The sequence below is a fragment of the Homo sapiens genome, chromosome 5 (genome assembly GCF_000001405.40).
Source record: "Homo sapiens chromosome 5, GRCh38.p14 Primary Assembly".
Lineage (NCBI taxonomy): Eukaryota > Metazoa > Chordata > Mammalia > Primates > Hominidae > Homo > Homo sapiens.
The window spans coordinates 145,840,665-145,856,941 of record NC_000005.10 but is presented as its reverse complement, the minus strand read 5'-3'; the positions used below and the strand labels follow the sequence as shown (position 1 = coordinate 145,856,941).

At 39.5% G+C, this 16,277-nt stretch overlaps 1 annotated feature.

Moving 5' to 3' along the window:
• Positions 1,785-2,384: a transcriptional cis regulatory region, noted in NCBI's record as "candidate enhancer chr5.3602 targeted for multiplex CRISPR interference". NCBI's record gives its function as "positively regulates PRELID2 gene expression with high confidence in K562 cells {active_cell/tissue: K562}" and the evidence as "EXISTENCE:mutant phenotype evidence [ECO:0000015][PMID:30612741]".

The window sequence follows — 16,277 nt, the reverse complement described above, 5'->3', positions numbered from 1 at the left end:
TGAGACTGATGTCTAGGAATATAAATTAAAAATAAAAATAAGAAATAAGAAAAGGTGTCATTTAAAGAAAGGCCTAAAGGAGTTGAGGGAGTGAGCTGGGAAGGTGTCTGGCGTAAGACTATCCCAGGCAGAGGAAACAGCAAATGCTAGAGTCGGGAAGAAGAGCGCCTGCACCTTTGAAGAACAGGGAAGGAGCCCGCGTGGCTGGTCTGGGTGAGCATGAAGACAGCAGCGGGGATGACGTCTGAAGGGAAAGTTCGTTCTTGTGTGTCACGGCGGGGGCGCCTCCCTCAGATGCCACGATGAGAACTCGGGTTTTACTCTGAGTGAGGGCCTGCTGTGGATAGAGCCTGCTTTCTGCTACCGCCCTCCGCACTCCCTTTCAACCCCCCGCCCCCTTGCTGCTGGGGCAGGAGACGTGCAAACTACACTTTCCGGACCCCCCGTGCCCGCTGGCTTCCTGTTAGGTGCGCCAGGACACTGGGAGAGGAGAGGGAGGAAGAGCCTTCCTTTTTTTGAATCGGGTTCCCGGCGGCCTTCCCATAGGGCAGCTGCAGGAGCAGCAGCAGCAGCTAGGAATGCTGGCCGGCTGCTTGCTTCCACCAGTAGCTGCTTTACTGGCTCTGGTTGTGGGCTCGCTGAAACACCATTTTCCCTTTTGTTCCTCCTTCCTAGGGGTGGTAGTGGCTACCTGCAGTCACTAATCTTTGTAACCAATTCCCTATATTTCCTCTCTTGGAAATACCTGGAATGGTTTCTGTTTTCTTGATTGGGCACCGACTGGAGCAGAGGAGGGTCATGGTCTGATGATTTATGTTTTAACAGGCCACTCGGGCTGCTGTGTTGAGAGGAGACACCACTGGCAAGGGCAGAAATGGGAGGCCAGCTAGGAGACTATTGCAATAATCTTGGTGGCAGCTAATAGTGCCAGTGTGGTATCAGTGGATGTGGTAAAAAGTGGTCAGACAATGGATATATTGTGAAGCTAGAACCACAAGCTCTATTTACCGTCCTTTGAACTCAGGAATATTGCTATGACCCCTCGTATGCAAAACATACATACTTGAGTTCTTTGCCTATTACTGGAGACAAGTTTGCACCAAAACATCCACTTCCTGATTTGTGAACTATAAGTATTTGCCAGTGGGTTGGGCAGGGTTAGGAATAAGTTTAAACAAGGTTAACCAACTGGTACTCCACTAAGACTACAAGAATCCCTTCAGAGCTAGAAACAAACACGAAGGTTAAAAAATATCATCATAATGATGCTGTGATTAAAATAATACTATATCCTTAGAAAGCTCAAAAAAGTTTTTAATAAATACGTCTTAAAAATGTAACATCCATTCATTTATTCATTGAATAATTTTTTGTTAGATTTCTGCTATGTTCTGGACATTCGTACTAGGTCCTCAGAAGACAAAGATGAAAAAGGATTTAGTATTTATCGTTAATGAAATTACAGTCTTGGGCCTCTAGTTCACATAGTAACTGAATTTCGGCCCACAGTTTGGGGAGGACACTATAGCTACCCTTTGCTACTTACTCTAGTAACTTTCATTTGTCTGCTTGAGGTCAAGTTAGATCGGCCTGGTTTGGGGGCTGTGTTTGTTAAAGAATGTTATGTATGCATTTATTTAAATTAACAAGCACATATTAGCCTTAACTGCACGTAAGGCATTGCTCTAAGCAGTTCACACTTAATCAGCTCCTAAATTGTCTTAAAGTTGAGTTAATTCAGTTTATTGACCATCTCTTAGTCTCACTCATACTGTTCCTTTCCATGCCGTGCTCACCCAGAGTAAATACACAGGCCCTTTCTGTGATCCTCACAAACATCTTGCCTTACTAGGCCTTTGTGGGTGCAACAAACTGTACTGAAACTGGGGATCTACCCAGGGGACTGACACTGCATCATAGTAATGAGAGGACTTCACAAGACTTCTGCAGACTGTGCCAGCCACTTAGCACCCTTCTGCTGGTTCCTCCTTCCCTCTCTGCCTTCCCATCCCAGCTGACCCTTATTCTTCTTACTCTGTTGCCAGAGTGACTCATCTTTATGGCTCCTATTTCCAACTGTGGCTCAGCCTCAAGGCTTATCTACTCTTCACACACAAAGATCTGCAGAGACCAGGAAGCTTCTTTTTCACAGACTCCACCCTCCTTGAAGGACACTTGTGGTTTGAAATGGCAATATGTTCCCCTCCCTACCTGTCTAAGGGGCTCTGTGCAGCGGGAAGGGCAGAGTCCACAGGCCTTAAACCTTTGCCCCTATAGCAACTCTACCTTTTCTTCCTTGTTTTCATGTTGGTTTCCAGGTAAGATCCCTGCTAAAGAGAGCACAGTACATTTAAAATTTTTGAAAACAGAGTTAACTATTTACTTTGTGATCCATACTTTACTTTTCCAAATTTAACTGGCCAAAGACATCATTTAAGCTTCAGTTCATAGGTAAGATGATATTTTCCTAGTCTAACTCTTCCACAAATATAAATTGCTCTGGTAATATATTCATTTAGATGAGTGCTGGCAACATTTATAAAAAAAATTCTGTGGTTCACTAGAGCTTATGCTAAATTTTATGCTAAAGTGGAGTGAATTTTATGCTAAAGGTAAATTTGAAAGAGATGTTCGCAGTTGTTTTTTAATCACCTGTCCTCATTAGTCGCATGTCCTCATTTTCTAATTAAACACAGTAATTATAGAGAGTCACATTCATGCAATTATGTGAGAGAGAAATGGAGTTATGTCAGTGTCAGAATTATGGCATATAATTACTGCGTGTGTTAAAGAACACATAAAACCAAGAGAAGAAAAGACCTAGAAACATAATACAGTAGAACTTCCTTATTGCTTGAGAGTTGGGGAAAGGAGGGAGGAAAGGGGCAGTTAAATCAGACCTTGACAAAATGAAAATCTATGTTTATCTCCTTTTACACTATGAGTTTCCTCTGTGTATAGTCCCCTTAGCATCCCTATTATCCAGCTCCCAGACACATTTTCCTCCATCAGTGATTATTTCCCAGAAGATTAGGGCCATTAATTCACACTAAGGTATAGATGACTAATAGATAATTGACCATGTCTGCTTTCTTAGGTTCAAAGTGTTATAATTTTTGAAGGCCTCCTATGTGTCAGGCCATGTGTAAGTCACAAGCAGTCACACAGATGAAAGAGACATAGTATCTTCTCTCAAGGACATCATGGTCTCACAGGGAGTTAGAGAATTAAACGAACATTTGCAAAATAAAATAATACATGCCATAGGAGGGGAAGAGGATAAAGATTGGTTAACTCTCCTTTCATTGTTGGTCTCCCTCATTCAGCTTTGAGCTTCTTGAGGGCAGGAACTGTGGCCATGCATCATTGTATCCCCAGCATCTACACTGTGCTTGGTGCATAGAAGGTGTTCTATAAATATGTGGTGGTTTGGTGTTTGCAGAGACATGACCCTTAATTGCACATACAGAGCCCTCAGTGTATTGTTGTCTCATGGGCCAATGCCTTGTGAAAATTTCACCAGTGGGCAGCTTCTAAAATGCCTCCCAATGATCCCCACCTCCTGGTATTCCTGGCCTGTGTAATCCCTTCCCCTTGAGTGTGGACTGGACCAAGTGACTTACTTTTAACAATAGGCTATGGCAAAAGTGATGCGATGTCACTTCAAAGATGAGGTTGTCAAAGATCATGACTCTTTCTCTGGCTTTTTGCTTGCTCACCTGTTGAGGCCAACTGCCATGTTGCAAGGTGCCTTATGGAGAGGTCCACGTGGCAAGGAGCAGAAGGTGGCTTCCAACCAACAGCCAGCAAGGAACTGAGGCCCTCAGTCAGCTGCCTGCTGGGAAGGGAATCCTGCCAACAGCCACGTGAGTGAGCTTGGAACAGGGTCTTTCCCAGTTGAGCTTGAGATGACTGCAACCCCAGCTGACAACTTAATTGCAGCCCATCAGAGACCTAGAGTCAGAACCATTCAGCTAAGCTGTGCCCAAATCTCTGACCTGTGGGATACAAAACTGTGAGATAATATATGCTGTTTTGAGCCAATAAATTTTGGGATGATTTATTACATAAGAAAAGATAACCAGTACAAGGTAAGACCATCTTCTGTCCAGGTCTTTGTTGATGTAGCCTTATATATCTGAAGGTTTTTCTCATGGAGAAGAATACTAGCAACCATTTGTTCTTTGTTTAATGCTCAATTTATTAAGCTCATAAATCTAACACCAAAAACTAACAACCAATTTTTCTTGGGGCCTTTAAATACTGATCACAAATTTATTAAGCAAACCACTGTAAACAATTTAAACAAACTGCAATTATATATTTGGAATGTCTAACCCTTTTAAACACTTCAAAACCGTAATTCACAAACTTATAGAAACAAAGACTACAGAATATATTGCTATAGTTTCACAGAAATCTACTTTAGGGCATCAATATCGTGGGTTTGATGCTTTTCTTATTTCTGTGCTTGTTTTTCTATGCTTGTTTTGATATACCCTCAGGATTTCAGTACTGTTATTTTTATTTCTTTCTGGGGTCACACGATTGTTAGAAGGCCCAAAGAAAAGATTATCTTATCAGAACAGCCTAGATTGCAAGACTTGGTTTATTGACTGATTAATTCTTGGTTACATTTGTTGCTTCTCCCAAGGTGATTCTAACCTAAACCACCTTTTTATAGTAAGCTTTTCTATAGTTCAATGATATCTGTTATGTCAGCAAGAGTATTTCAGGCCTTATCTTATGCCTAGGGTTTAATTTTGCAACCTACTATCTACCCCTGAAATTGTTTTTGTAATTATCACTTGGCTGTTCTTACATAACTGATTCTCCTGTCATAATCAAATATCGATTTGGTCTCTTAGCATTAAAAACTGACACCTTCCTTATTAGCACTGAGATTTAATCTCCTAGGAGTTGAGGATTGAGTGAGTAGTTAGCCTTCCTCTAGAGGTCGTCTGGTAATTCATTACATTGGCAAACACTGCAAAACCTTCTTTCTGGTGGGTTATTGTCAGTGTTCACTCAAACTGAATAGTCTTTTTGGCTTACAGTTCCCAACATTTATTCTCCTTAAACAGACAGAGAGAGACAGATGACTATGTGTCATAAACACATAAAATTAATGGAAGAAATATCAAGCCCTCTTCATTGTTAAAATCAGTAAGAAAATAAGTATGCTCTATTATATTAACTGTTTTCTATTACAATGACCTTTTGCACAGACTTCATATTAACATCTTTGTTTTGAGTTATTTTGAATTCATGGCCTTTGATAAGACTCACCTTTTTCCTATAATTCATGATGATGATAGTGGTGGTAATGATGATGGTGGTGGGAATAGTGATTTTGATGCTCACGTTGTAACTTAATCTTAAAAGGCATATTATTGTTTTAAAAAATTGGAGAGACTAAACTACAGTGTTTAGGAGTGCACATTTGGGTGATAATACTATAAAAACGACAATGAAGTCATTACTATTTGAGTGACGATATGCAGAAAGAAATGGGGATGTGGTTGGGATGAGGCTCAGGGAAGGGGCTTATGGGGTGGGCAGCAAAGTTCTATATTTTTGACCTGGGCCTACATTTGACTTTTTTGGGGGCATATGTGCTTTTTTTTATAATAAAAATTTTATTTTTAAAAATTGTCACCATATAGTTAGTGAGGGGCCCTGTATGCTGGCTCCCTTATTCTTTAACCATTGTCCCTGATGTTCTTGAAAACATTCTTGCTTTTTGGCAACAATAGAAGATTGAAGAAATGTTCTGATTTCTTTCCATCTTAAATAATGAAATTAGCTATTCTCCAAGGAATTCTTTTTCCTTTTAGCAGGAAATAATTGTAAAGTCCAGGAGCTGGGCTCTGGGAGTTGCACATGAGAATGTGTGCTGAGCCAGAATGCTATTGATGTGGCTGTTAGGCCACTCAGAGCTGAAAAAATTCTTCTTAAGCTTATTATTTCACACTGATATTTCCAATTTAACTTACTATGTTGCTATTCCATACTTTTTACACTTTATAAGGTTTCATCAACTACAGATCTTTCTCCTGAATTGACAATCTTTTCAGTATGATGAAACTCCTGGATTGAGCTAAGACATGACTTCTATCAATTCTCCTCTTTGGTATAGTAATTCATAAACTTCTGTCATTCACATAATTCATATTTTTTTGCCATATTTGCCAAATTTCTAATTTTGTACCACCTGTATTGTTGTTTTCTTAATATTTTTATTTAATCAACTAAATTGAACCTCTTAAAATACTTAGCTTCCTATTAAGCAATAATCTCTGTGAAATTGCAGGGTTTAATTAACTGGTCATATATTGTTCCAGTGCACATTAAGATGAATATATAAGTATTGAGATTTGAATAGATTCAATAAATGTTACTTTCCCTTACTCAAGTTCTGCACCATCTGACAGATAGATGAGAATCAGGAAGGTGGAGCTCAAAATAGTAGCTTCATTACTAGTGAAAGTTGGATTGGGGGATGCGGCTTAGGTGCTGGACAATTATGGGCTCCTTAAGAGTAAATCCCAGGTGTGGACAGACATGTACACCCGTAGGTCTTCCCTGCAGTGGAGTGCTATTGATTTCACAGCCAAGAACAGTGCGGAATTTGTCCTTCCTGAAGGAGATAGAGTCAAAAAGTACAAGGAGTGAATGACTGACTACTATACTCAATTTTGTTATTATTATCAATTAATTAACTTATTTTGTCAAATAAAAATGATATATATTTATGGTGTACTATATGTTATTTTGAAATATGCATACGTGGTGGAATGGCTAAATCAAGCTAATTAACATATGTATTACCTCGTGTATTTATCATTTATTTGTGGTGGTGAACACTTAAAATCTATCCTCAGCAATTTTCAAGTATACAATACAGTGTTATTAACTACAGTCACTTTGTTGTACAATAGATCTCCTGAACTTATTTCTCTTGTTTAACTAAAATTTTGCATTAAAAAAAATTGAGACAGGATCTCACTCTGTTGCCAAGGCTGGAGTACAGTGGTGAGATCATGGCTCACTACAACCTTGAGTTTCTTGGCTCAAGTGATCCTCTTGCCTCAGCCTCCCGAGTAGCTGGGACTACAGCCATGCACCACCATGCCAGGCTAATTTTTAAAATTTTTTATAGAGATGGGGTTTTACTGTGTTGCCAAATTTTGTACTTTTTGACCAACATCTCCCTAATCCTTACCTTCACTCCTAGCCCCTGCTAGCCACCATTCTACTCTGCTATGAATTCAACTTTTTTAGATTCCACATGTAAGTGCGATCATGCAGCATTTATGTTCCTATCCCTGGATTGTTTCACTTAATATATTGTCCCCCAGTTTCATTTATGTTGTTGCAAATGACAGGATTTCCTTCTTTTTTAAGGCTGAATAGTATTCCATTGTGTACATATACCACATTTTCTTTATCTATTCATCCACTGATGGCCACATCTAGTTATTCCTTCAAACTCACCAACTGGGCAGGTGTGACATTAAGCTAATGAACATTCCAGTAGTTAAAATGCAAAATCAGGGAATAACTACCAAGAATACATGTTTGTTCATTTATTGTGTCAAAACACCTCAAGTATACTTTTTGGGAATTTCTGCTATAGTGAACAGTGCTATGATAAAGTGCCTGTGAAGTTCACCTTGTCAAATATTGTTGGTTACCTTTTCTGCATCTCAGATTGCTGTATGTAGAGGAACAGATCTGATGTAGAAGAGTCTGTCTGAATCCAAGTCAGAGTGAGTCACATTGACAATGTGTCACATATACCATCTTGGCCATTTTCCAGACGCTTTTGTTAAAGAAACCACCACTACAAAATCATAATCAAAAGCTTCTAGTCCTCATGTCAGTGAGTGTTATTTTACTCTCTTCATTCACAAATTGACTAGACTATGGCAAGGTCTTGTGGGTTATCATTCCTGCATTTCCCTAATTGAGTCAGGAACATGTATCCCATTCAACTGTTTTGATGTGGTAGCTTCCTATGATTAGCCTCCATAGAATGTCAGTGCTTAAAGGAAAAGGAGAGACACCTCTAAAGTTGGGGGAGTAAGTTCCCCCTTGCTCACAGAGCTGAAGAAGTGAAGGTCTGAGCAGGCAAAAGACTTGTCCAAGGTCACATCCTACTTATTAAGCAACTTAGTCCCAGAACTGGAGTCTCCTTATTCACAGCTTATGCCTTTTCCATTCTGCCCCCTGACCTTTTAACATAAAGTCAAAGTGAGAAACAATGGGTTTTGGCAGAGAAAAATAATTTCCTATCATTTTCTTTCTCTAAAATAAAATTTGAATCTATCTATTCTTTTCTATGTTTCCTAACACTATAGACATAATCAACACCACCTGGACCACTGCAATAGCCTCAAAACAGGTCTTCTCCATTTCAACCTCCAATTCCATTTCTTCCTCCAATTCAGTTGCTTCCCTTCACATAAGTTCTTCACTGGAATGCTTTCTCTTTTATTTTTCACCACTTTCCTTGTACTCATTATATGAGTTAGGGCTTTTTCTGCTTCAAAAGGCAGAAAAACAATTGAAACTGGTAAATATAAGTCAGGATGAGCTAGGTTATGTTGTGGTAAAGAACAACTCTAAAATGTCAGTGCTTTCATTTCTGCATCTTGGTTGATGGGGAACTCTGCTCCATGTCACGCTCAGTCAGGATCTTTAGGTTGACCGAATCCCCACCATTTGGAATCTATTTGATTGCCATGGCAGGGGTGGAAAACATGGTGGAGTGTGCCCCAGCTCTTAAAGGCTTCTGCCCCAAAGTGACACATATTACATCTGCTCACATTTCATTGGCCAAACCAAGTCCCACGTCTACCTTCAAGGACTGAGGAAGTGCAGTCCTACCATATGTCCAGAGGAGCAGAACCAGAAGAAAAAAAAAATGACTAGCACTAATGACTACCACGCTTTACGCATAAGGGAATGTGTGGTGACTCATGACTGAACAGTTCATGGGTGGATATGGTCAGGCAGAACTTAAATCAGAGTTTAAATGATGGCAAGAGGATATATTTCTTGACTAAGGTGTCCTTCAGTTACATGTCATTCTTTTCTTTTAGTGTCAAGGTTGTATCTTTACAAGACTCAGTGCAGTGAAGAAGATAATCTGCTTCCCTGATAGATTAGATCAAAGATTCTAAATGGAACCTTGCTGCTGTTATTGGCCTAACAGAGGTCATATGGTCATCCCTGAATCAACGGAATCATTACTGTGGCTAGGGAGATGAAATACACTGATTGGCTGAGCCTAGGTCTTGGCCCCACCCTAGCAGCCAGAGATGGAAGAAATAGCTCCAAAACACTGAGGCTGAGAATGTGGTAGAGTATTTTCTCCAGGAAGACTTGGGCTATGGTTATAGAAGAATGTGAATGGCTGTTGGATAAGACAAAACACAAGACATCTATGGGTCTTTTTTTTCAAGTCTCTGTTTAGTGTCACTTCTTCAGGTGTCTTCCTTGGGCACACACGGAAACTGAATTAGATACACCTTTTATTCTCTCTCAGCATTCCTTTTATTTTTCTTTCAAGGCAAAATATGTAATTTTGTATTTACCTGTGTGATGATTTGTTTAGTGTCTGTTTCCCTCACTAGAAGGTAAGCTCCTTAAGGGCAATAACTCTACCTGTTTTGTTCATTGATGTTTGTTCAGCATCTAGAAAAATGCCTAGAATGGGGTAGGCTCCCAGGAAATATTTATTGAAAGAAGCAACAGTAAATACTACCTATTTTGGATATCTACTGGTTTTAAGATAAAGATGGGAACATGTGATGGTTAATTTTATGTGTCAACTTAAATGGATTAAGAGATGCTCATAGCTGCAGATAGCAGGTCATTGGGCGTCTTGGCCTTCATAACCATATGAGCCTATTCCTAAAATAAATCCCTGTTATGTATCTCTCTATATATCCTATTAATTCTGTTTTTCTGGGGAACCCTGACTAATACAGATTTGAATATTGGGGGTTTTAGCTCAAAGATACATGGCATAGTATGTCTAGGTTAACAAGTAGATAAATTTTAGTAAGACAGTAAAGATAACAGATTCGGCTAATAAAAGTATGTATTATTAAATGCTTCTACAATAACCTTTAGACTGCAGCAAAATGAAAAAAATAGGTTTCCAAGAATCTATAAATCAACATGACATATTAAAATGTTGTAAAAAACTAAGCAAATCTATATTTTTCACCCTCTTATTTTGTCTAGAAGATGAAACACAATCTTGTTTTGAACTGGCTTAAATAAGACCTACTGGTTGAGGCATGAGACTTTAAAATTCTATTTTTGTAAGTCATTAGTTATCTAACTACTGTTCTATATCTTAGTAAATGTGTTGTACCTCAGCTTCCCAACCTGTAAACTATGGATAATAACTATACCTGGCAATTGTGGTAAGAGTTAAATGAACTAATACACATAAATTACTCAAAGCAATTACACAAATAATAGTGCCTGCCACATATTAAGTGCCCAATAAATTTTAGCTGTTATTATTAAGAGCTTATTTCCTTTATTATTTTATTTGAGTAGCAGCTTCTACTGCCAGAACACTTACTTTCACATTATCTTATCTGAATTGCACGAGGTGTTAAGCATTTAGTATTTGTTGAGTGCTAGATATACAAAGAAACATGAGACCGAGTTCCGTCTTTCAGAAATTTGCAACATAGTTCCAACAGTATTTCCTGCTATGGCTTGATTTTAGAAAATACATCTCCAGGGGAGCTAAATATAGACTGCTAGATTTTTACCAATTAGGATTCTTTAGGTTGCAAGTAACAGAATCCAACTCAAAGTAGCTTAAACAACAAAGTGGACTTGTTAGTATGGGGCAATGGAAAGAGTGTGTCTTTTAGGAATGGTGGGTCCAGGATCTCCACAGTGTTCACTGAAAGCCCAACTTTTCCCCAGCTATTGGCTTCTCTCATCACAGGGATGACATCAAACCAAGGCTATCTACCCATAGGATGTCTACTAGCCTCAGCTTGGGGCATTTCCTTGTTCATATCTAGGGGAGGGGAGCTAATTTCCAGAATCCCCCAGTAAACCTCTCTTCATGTCTCATTGGTCCAATCTGTGCCATATGGCTGTTCTATTGCCAGTTCCTAGGAGTGGAGATTATCCTTGGATCAATCAGGCCCACTTTGGAAACTGGGAGTGAGTCAACCTCCTTTCAGGTCCCTGTGCTAGTGCTTATTAGGGCTACGATAAAAACTTGAAGGCAGAATGAATGGTGACCAGATAATCAACAATTCCCAGTCTACTCTTTGAGGGGAGAATGATCTCTTACTTTTATGTTCTAACATGTTCTGAGCCAAGTGTACAGAAAATGCTTAATAAATACTACAGAAAGAGTGGAGAGTAAATAGACCTACCAAAGAATTATTTATCCACCTTACATAAGTCTCTGAATCCCAGAAATATTTGTCCTAGGAATTGGCACTACCAGTTTTTTTCTTGTTTAAGTGCCCTCTCTCTCAGCAACATGACCGTAGACTCCATCTAGTCCCAAGAGTGCTGGAGGGGCAGTTGGGATTGCCCTTTTCTTCTGGAGTCCCCCTTGTTGATTGATCATAAGCTGTGATATTTGTAATTCATTCCCAAGTCAAGGGGCACATTTTGGCTGCTTGGTATCATATGTTGTAGTAGATGAATGAATCTTTTAAGATTTGTGCCCAGAAAAATTGGCATTTAAGCTTTCTCTTTATTCCAGCTCCGAGGTTAGGGAAACAGCTATTGATGGACTAATTAGCATTTTAGGGGGACTAAGAATGATCTCCTATCCTTTAACAGTTGAATAAGCAGTTGTCTCAGGGAGATTCTTAGAGCATCACTGTAATATTATTTCATGCAGAACTACAGGCTGGCCTGACTCCTGGTCACCATATATAACACAATGGCAATAGCTATAGTAAAGAAAAGCAAGTTTGTCATGTCTGGTCATGGTAGGATGATAATGGTAGGGTGCATTTGACACAGGAAAGTTGTAACTTCTCAGAAGTTAACCTTTCGACTGTCATGCTCAGCATCTGTTTTTTCTCACTTCTAAGAGAGGGTCTATGTCTTAGGAGTAGATGCAGGAAAACCAAGTACATACAATCAATGCATAATATCACACACAATAGCCATTCAGGATATTGGGAAGCTGAAGCAAAATCAGGAACCACTTTATTCATTCTGAGGCATTACTACTGTACCAATTACCAGTTAGCAACTTTCTTATTGATAAGAACAGTTGGTTTGGTGAGCTGACCAAGACAGGAATCAGGCGGTTGCTTGAGGTAAATCTTTTTAAAAAATTTTGTTTTATCTCAAGCTCCAAACGATGAATGAGGTTAATCTTATGTATTCACTTACTTGTTTTACTGCTCTGAAGGCGCATCCGCATGGGTCAATCTTTTTTTTTTTTTAAGACAAGGTCTCACTCTGTCGCCCAGGCTGGAGTGCAGTGGCACAGTCACAGCCACTGCAGCCTTGACCTCTCCAGGCCCAGGTGATCCTCCCACTTCAACCTCCTGAGTAGCTGGGACTACAGGTGCACACCACTATATCTAGCTAATTTTTCTATTTTTTGTAGAGACCGGGTTTCACCATGTTGCCTAGGTCAGTATGAAACTCCCGAGTTCCTCTGCCCTCCTCAGTTTCCCAAAGTGCTAGGATTATGGGTGTGAGCCACCAAGCTCGCCTGGTTAATCTTTTATTATTATTATTATTATTTTAATTCTGGAACAGATTAAGATGAGAATGGCTTCATTAATCTTGATGTGACCATTTTAGGAAAATAATTTTTTTTTTCAATGGGAAAATAATGAAAGTCCTTACCTGAATCTTCTATTTCTAGGTATAATTTCCCCAATATCCATGTTTACCTATTGAATGTTATTTTCCCATTATTTCATAGTGGCCAGCACCTCTTCTGACTGCCTTTTCTTTTTTAAGGAAACATCAGTGTCTTTAATCTGGATACTCTTGTGTGTTGTGGTTTCAAATAATTCCAGTTTTCATGTACTGACTTTGAATCTATTAGTTTACATCTTTGCAAATAAAATTTAGTGAAATGGGAGTCTATCCCTTTGGATGAGTTAATTAGCCCCTCCATGCTTCAGTTTATTCATCTGTGAACTGTGGATAATAATGGTAATGAATGTGGCAGTGCTTCACTAATGCCCCCTCTTTAGGGCCTGTGCTCCCCACCCTCCTCAAAGCTGTGCTCCTTTCTGAGGCTTGTCACCCAGCCTCCTTACCTCATTGGGGGCCACCCAGCTCCAGGGATTTCTATAGGATTGGTTGAGGACTCAACTGGCACCAAATTTTGGAGCAGATTGTCTTGTTGTCCAACACTCCATTCTTCACTTCCTCAGGGGTGTATCGCTCTAAAGTACCCCCATCCTCATCCCTGTATATAAATCCTTGTCTCATAGTCTGTTTCGAAGGAACCCAATCTGAGACAAATACCTGCTTCTTCAGATTGTTGTAAAGATTGAGTGTCTATATAAAGCCCTTCAGACAGCACTTGGGTTTGGGAATAATTTATCATTTGATAGCTGTCATTATTCTTGGGTTGTACTTCACTGATTGATAACATTACCATTTCTGCTTATCTCATCAATCAGATAGTCCTTTGGAAAAATAATGTAATAACTAGCCCAAGGAAAGTTGTTAAGTTTGCTATTTTTCTGTTAGTTTACTCTTCCTTTGCCCTGGGGCCCTTCATGGCTGCCGCCTTCCCTGCCCCTTCTCTCCTTTCCCCTTCTCCTACCCATTCCAACCCTTCAGTATCTGCTCATGGCCTCCCCCACTGGAAAAATATGTAGGAAAGGAAAGGACTTGTTAAACTTACTCACATTGGAGTTTCAATGTGTTATCCCTTAACTTTCTAAGTTATATGTCATCTGAAATTCTCTCTGTATGCCTTTGATTTTATTATTACTATTATTATTATTATCTGCAGTACCACAACTGCCCTTCTGTAATTTTTGGCCTTCAGTCTATTGTGAGATCATTTTTTAAAAATTGGTCTTCCCAGATAAGAAGCATCTTAAATAGATGCTTTTAAAATGCATGCCATTATGAGCTTCAAGTCAGTGAAATTTAAAAAAAAAGAAATAAAATGCATGCCATTAAGATAAAATAAAATGCATGCCACTAATTGCTACCTGCTATTACAAAGAAAATTTCCCCTTTTGTACTCATATGGTGAGGCGAATTGGCCTTAAAGGATGCAATTTTACCAAACAAACAAGATGAATAAAATTCTTATTGGATTTCTAAACAATCAAGGTGAAGAGGGTAAATATGGAGAGTTGAAAACATCAATGTAAAAGGCAGCTCAACTTTCAAAGATCTCAAGAGCTGGGCTGATTTGGAGATGGAAAAAGAGTGGGCAATAAAGAATCTTTTTTCTTTCCTTTTCTCTTCTTTTTCTTTGGGCACATGAACTCACAGCAGCTAAATTTTTCTTCCACGTCATACTAGATAGGAGTCTCAGTTCAAAGTGCTAGAAAACTCAACTCAAATTAAGCTAAGCACAAAAGGAGATTGCCTGGAAGGATCCTGACCAAGCTCAGATAATCCAAGAAGGAGCTGCAGGAAACATGGCAATTCATGGGATTCAGGGACCAGAACTGGAGGTCCAGTGCCTCCAGAATCTCTCTTCATCTTTTGTCTCTGCTTGTGTCTGATATTATTGGTTAAATTGTGTCCTTCAAAAAGATGTTGAAGTCCTAACCCTCAGTGCCTATGAATGTGGTCTCATTTGGAAAGAAAGTTTTATCAGATGATCAAGTTAAAATGATGTATTAGCTTGCTAGGACTTCCATAACAAAGTACCACAGACTGTTTGGCTTAAATAACAGATATTCATTTCCTCACAGTTCTGGAGCCCAGAAGTCTGAGATGAAGGCATCAGCAGGATTGATTTCTCCTTGCCTTGTTGGTGGCCTTCGTCTCTCTCTTTCTTCACATGGTCTTCCCTCTGTGCATGTTTGTGTCCTAAGCTCTTCTTCTGATAAGGGCACCAATCATATGGGTTATTAGGGCCCAGCAGTATGACCTCATTTTACGTTAGTTACCTAGTTACCCTTTCAAAGCTCCTGTCTTTGAATACAGTCACATCCTGAGGTACAGGGTGTTAGCACTTCAACATATAAATTTTAGGGACACAATTTTGTGTATAACAGTTGAGGTCATTAGGGTGGCTCTTAATCTAAAGTTCTTATAAAAATTTGGACACAAAAACAGACAAGTGTAGAGAGAAGACAATGTGAAGTCACAAGAAGACCATCCACAAGCTAAGAAATGCCTGGGGCTATTAGAAGCTAGGGGAGAGGCATGGGACAGATTCTCCCTCTGAACCCTCAGAAGGAATCCATCTTGCCAACAACACCTTGATTTATGACTTCTGGAATCCAAAGCTGTGAGACAATAAATTTATGTTTTTCAAGCCATCCATTTGTGGCACTTTGAAAATGAACACATCTGGCTTTATTTCCCTCTACAGTCAGACAGGCTTTCTCTAGATGGTGGCCAGACTGGGCCTTGGCTCTTCTTCTTCCCACTTCTGATCTTTCAGCACACCTTTCCAGCTCTACCTTCACAAGGGATCCAGAACCTAAAAACTGATCACCACTGATACCACTGTGGTCTCAGCCATCATTTCCTCTTATCTAGATTATGGCAATCACCTCTTGAGGGGAGAACAAGCTCAAATCATGTTTTTTTCCTGTGCTCTCACATTACAAAAATCATCAACACAGAAGACGTTCTATTTTTTGTAGAGACCAGGTTTCACCATGTTGCCTAGGTCAGTATGAAACTCCTGAGTTCCTCTGCCCTCCTTCAGTAATGGCAATTGTGGTGAGAGTCAAATAAACTAATACATAATATTATTAATAATGTTATCTGCAGTACCATCACAACTGCAATTTTTGGCCCTCATGTATGATGAAATATCTTTGTAAGATATTTGCTATCTTAAAGACCAAATAAGGTCATGAAATTCTAAGGTTTGCCAGCACACATACAAATGTGTGTGTGGTTTCTCCCCACACAGCAAGCAAGCACTCAGGTCTGCAGTGGACACCAGCCAGGTGTCCTCCAATTCAATTCTGACACTACCTGGAGATAATTCAGAACCCACAAGTTGAGGACTCAGTCCCACAAGATCACTCCGCTGTCCCCACCGTCCCCCATTCAGATGTTAGTTGCAAGTCTTGGCCTCCAGAACT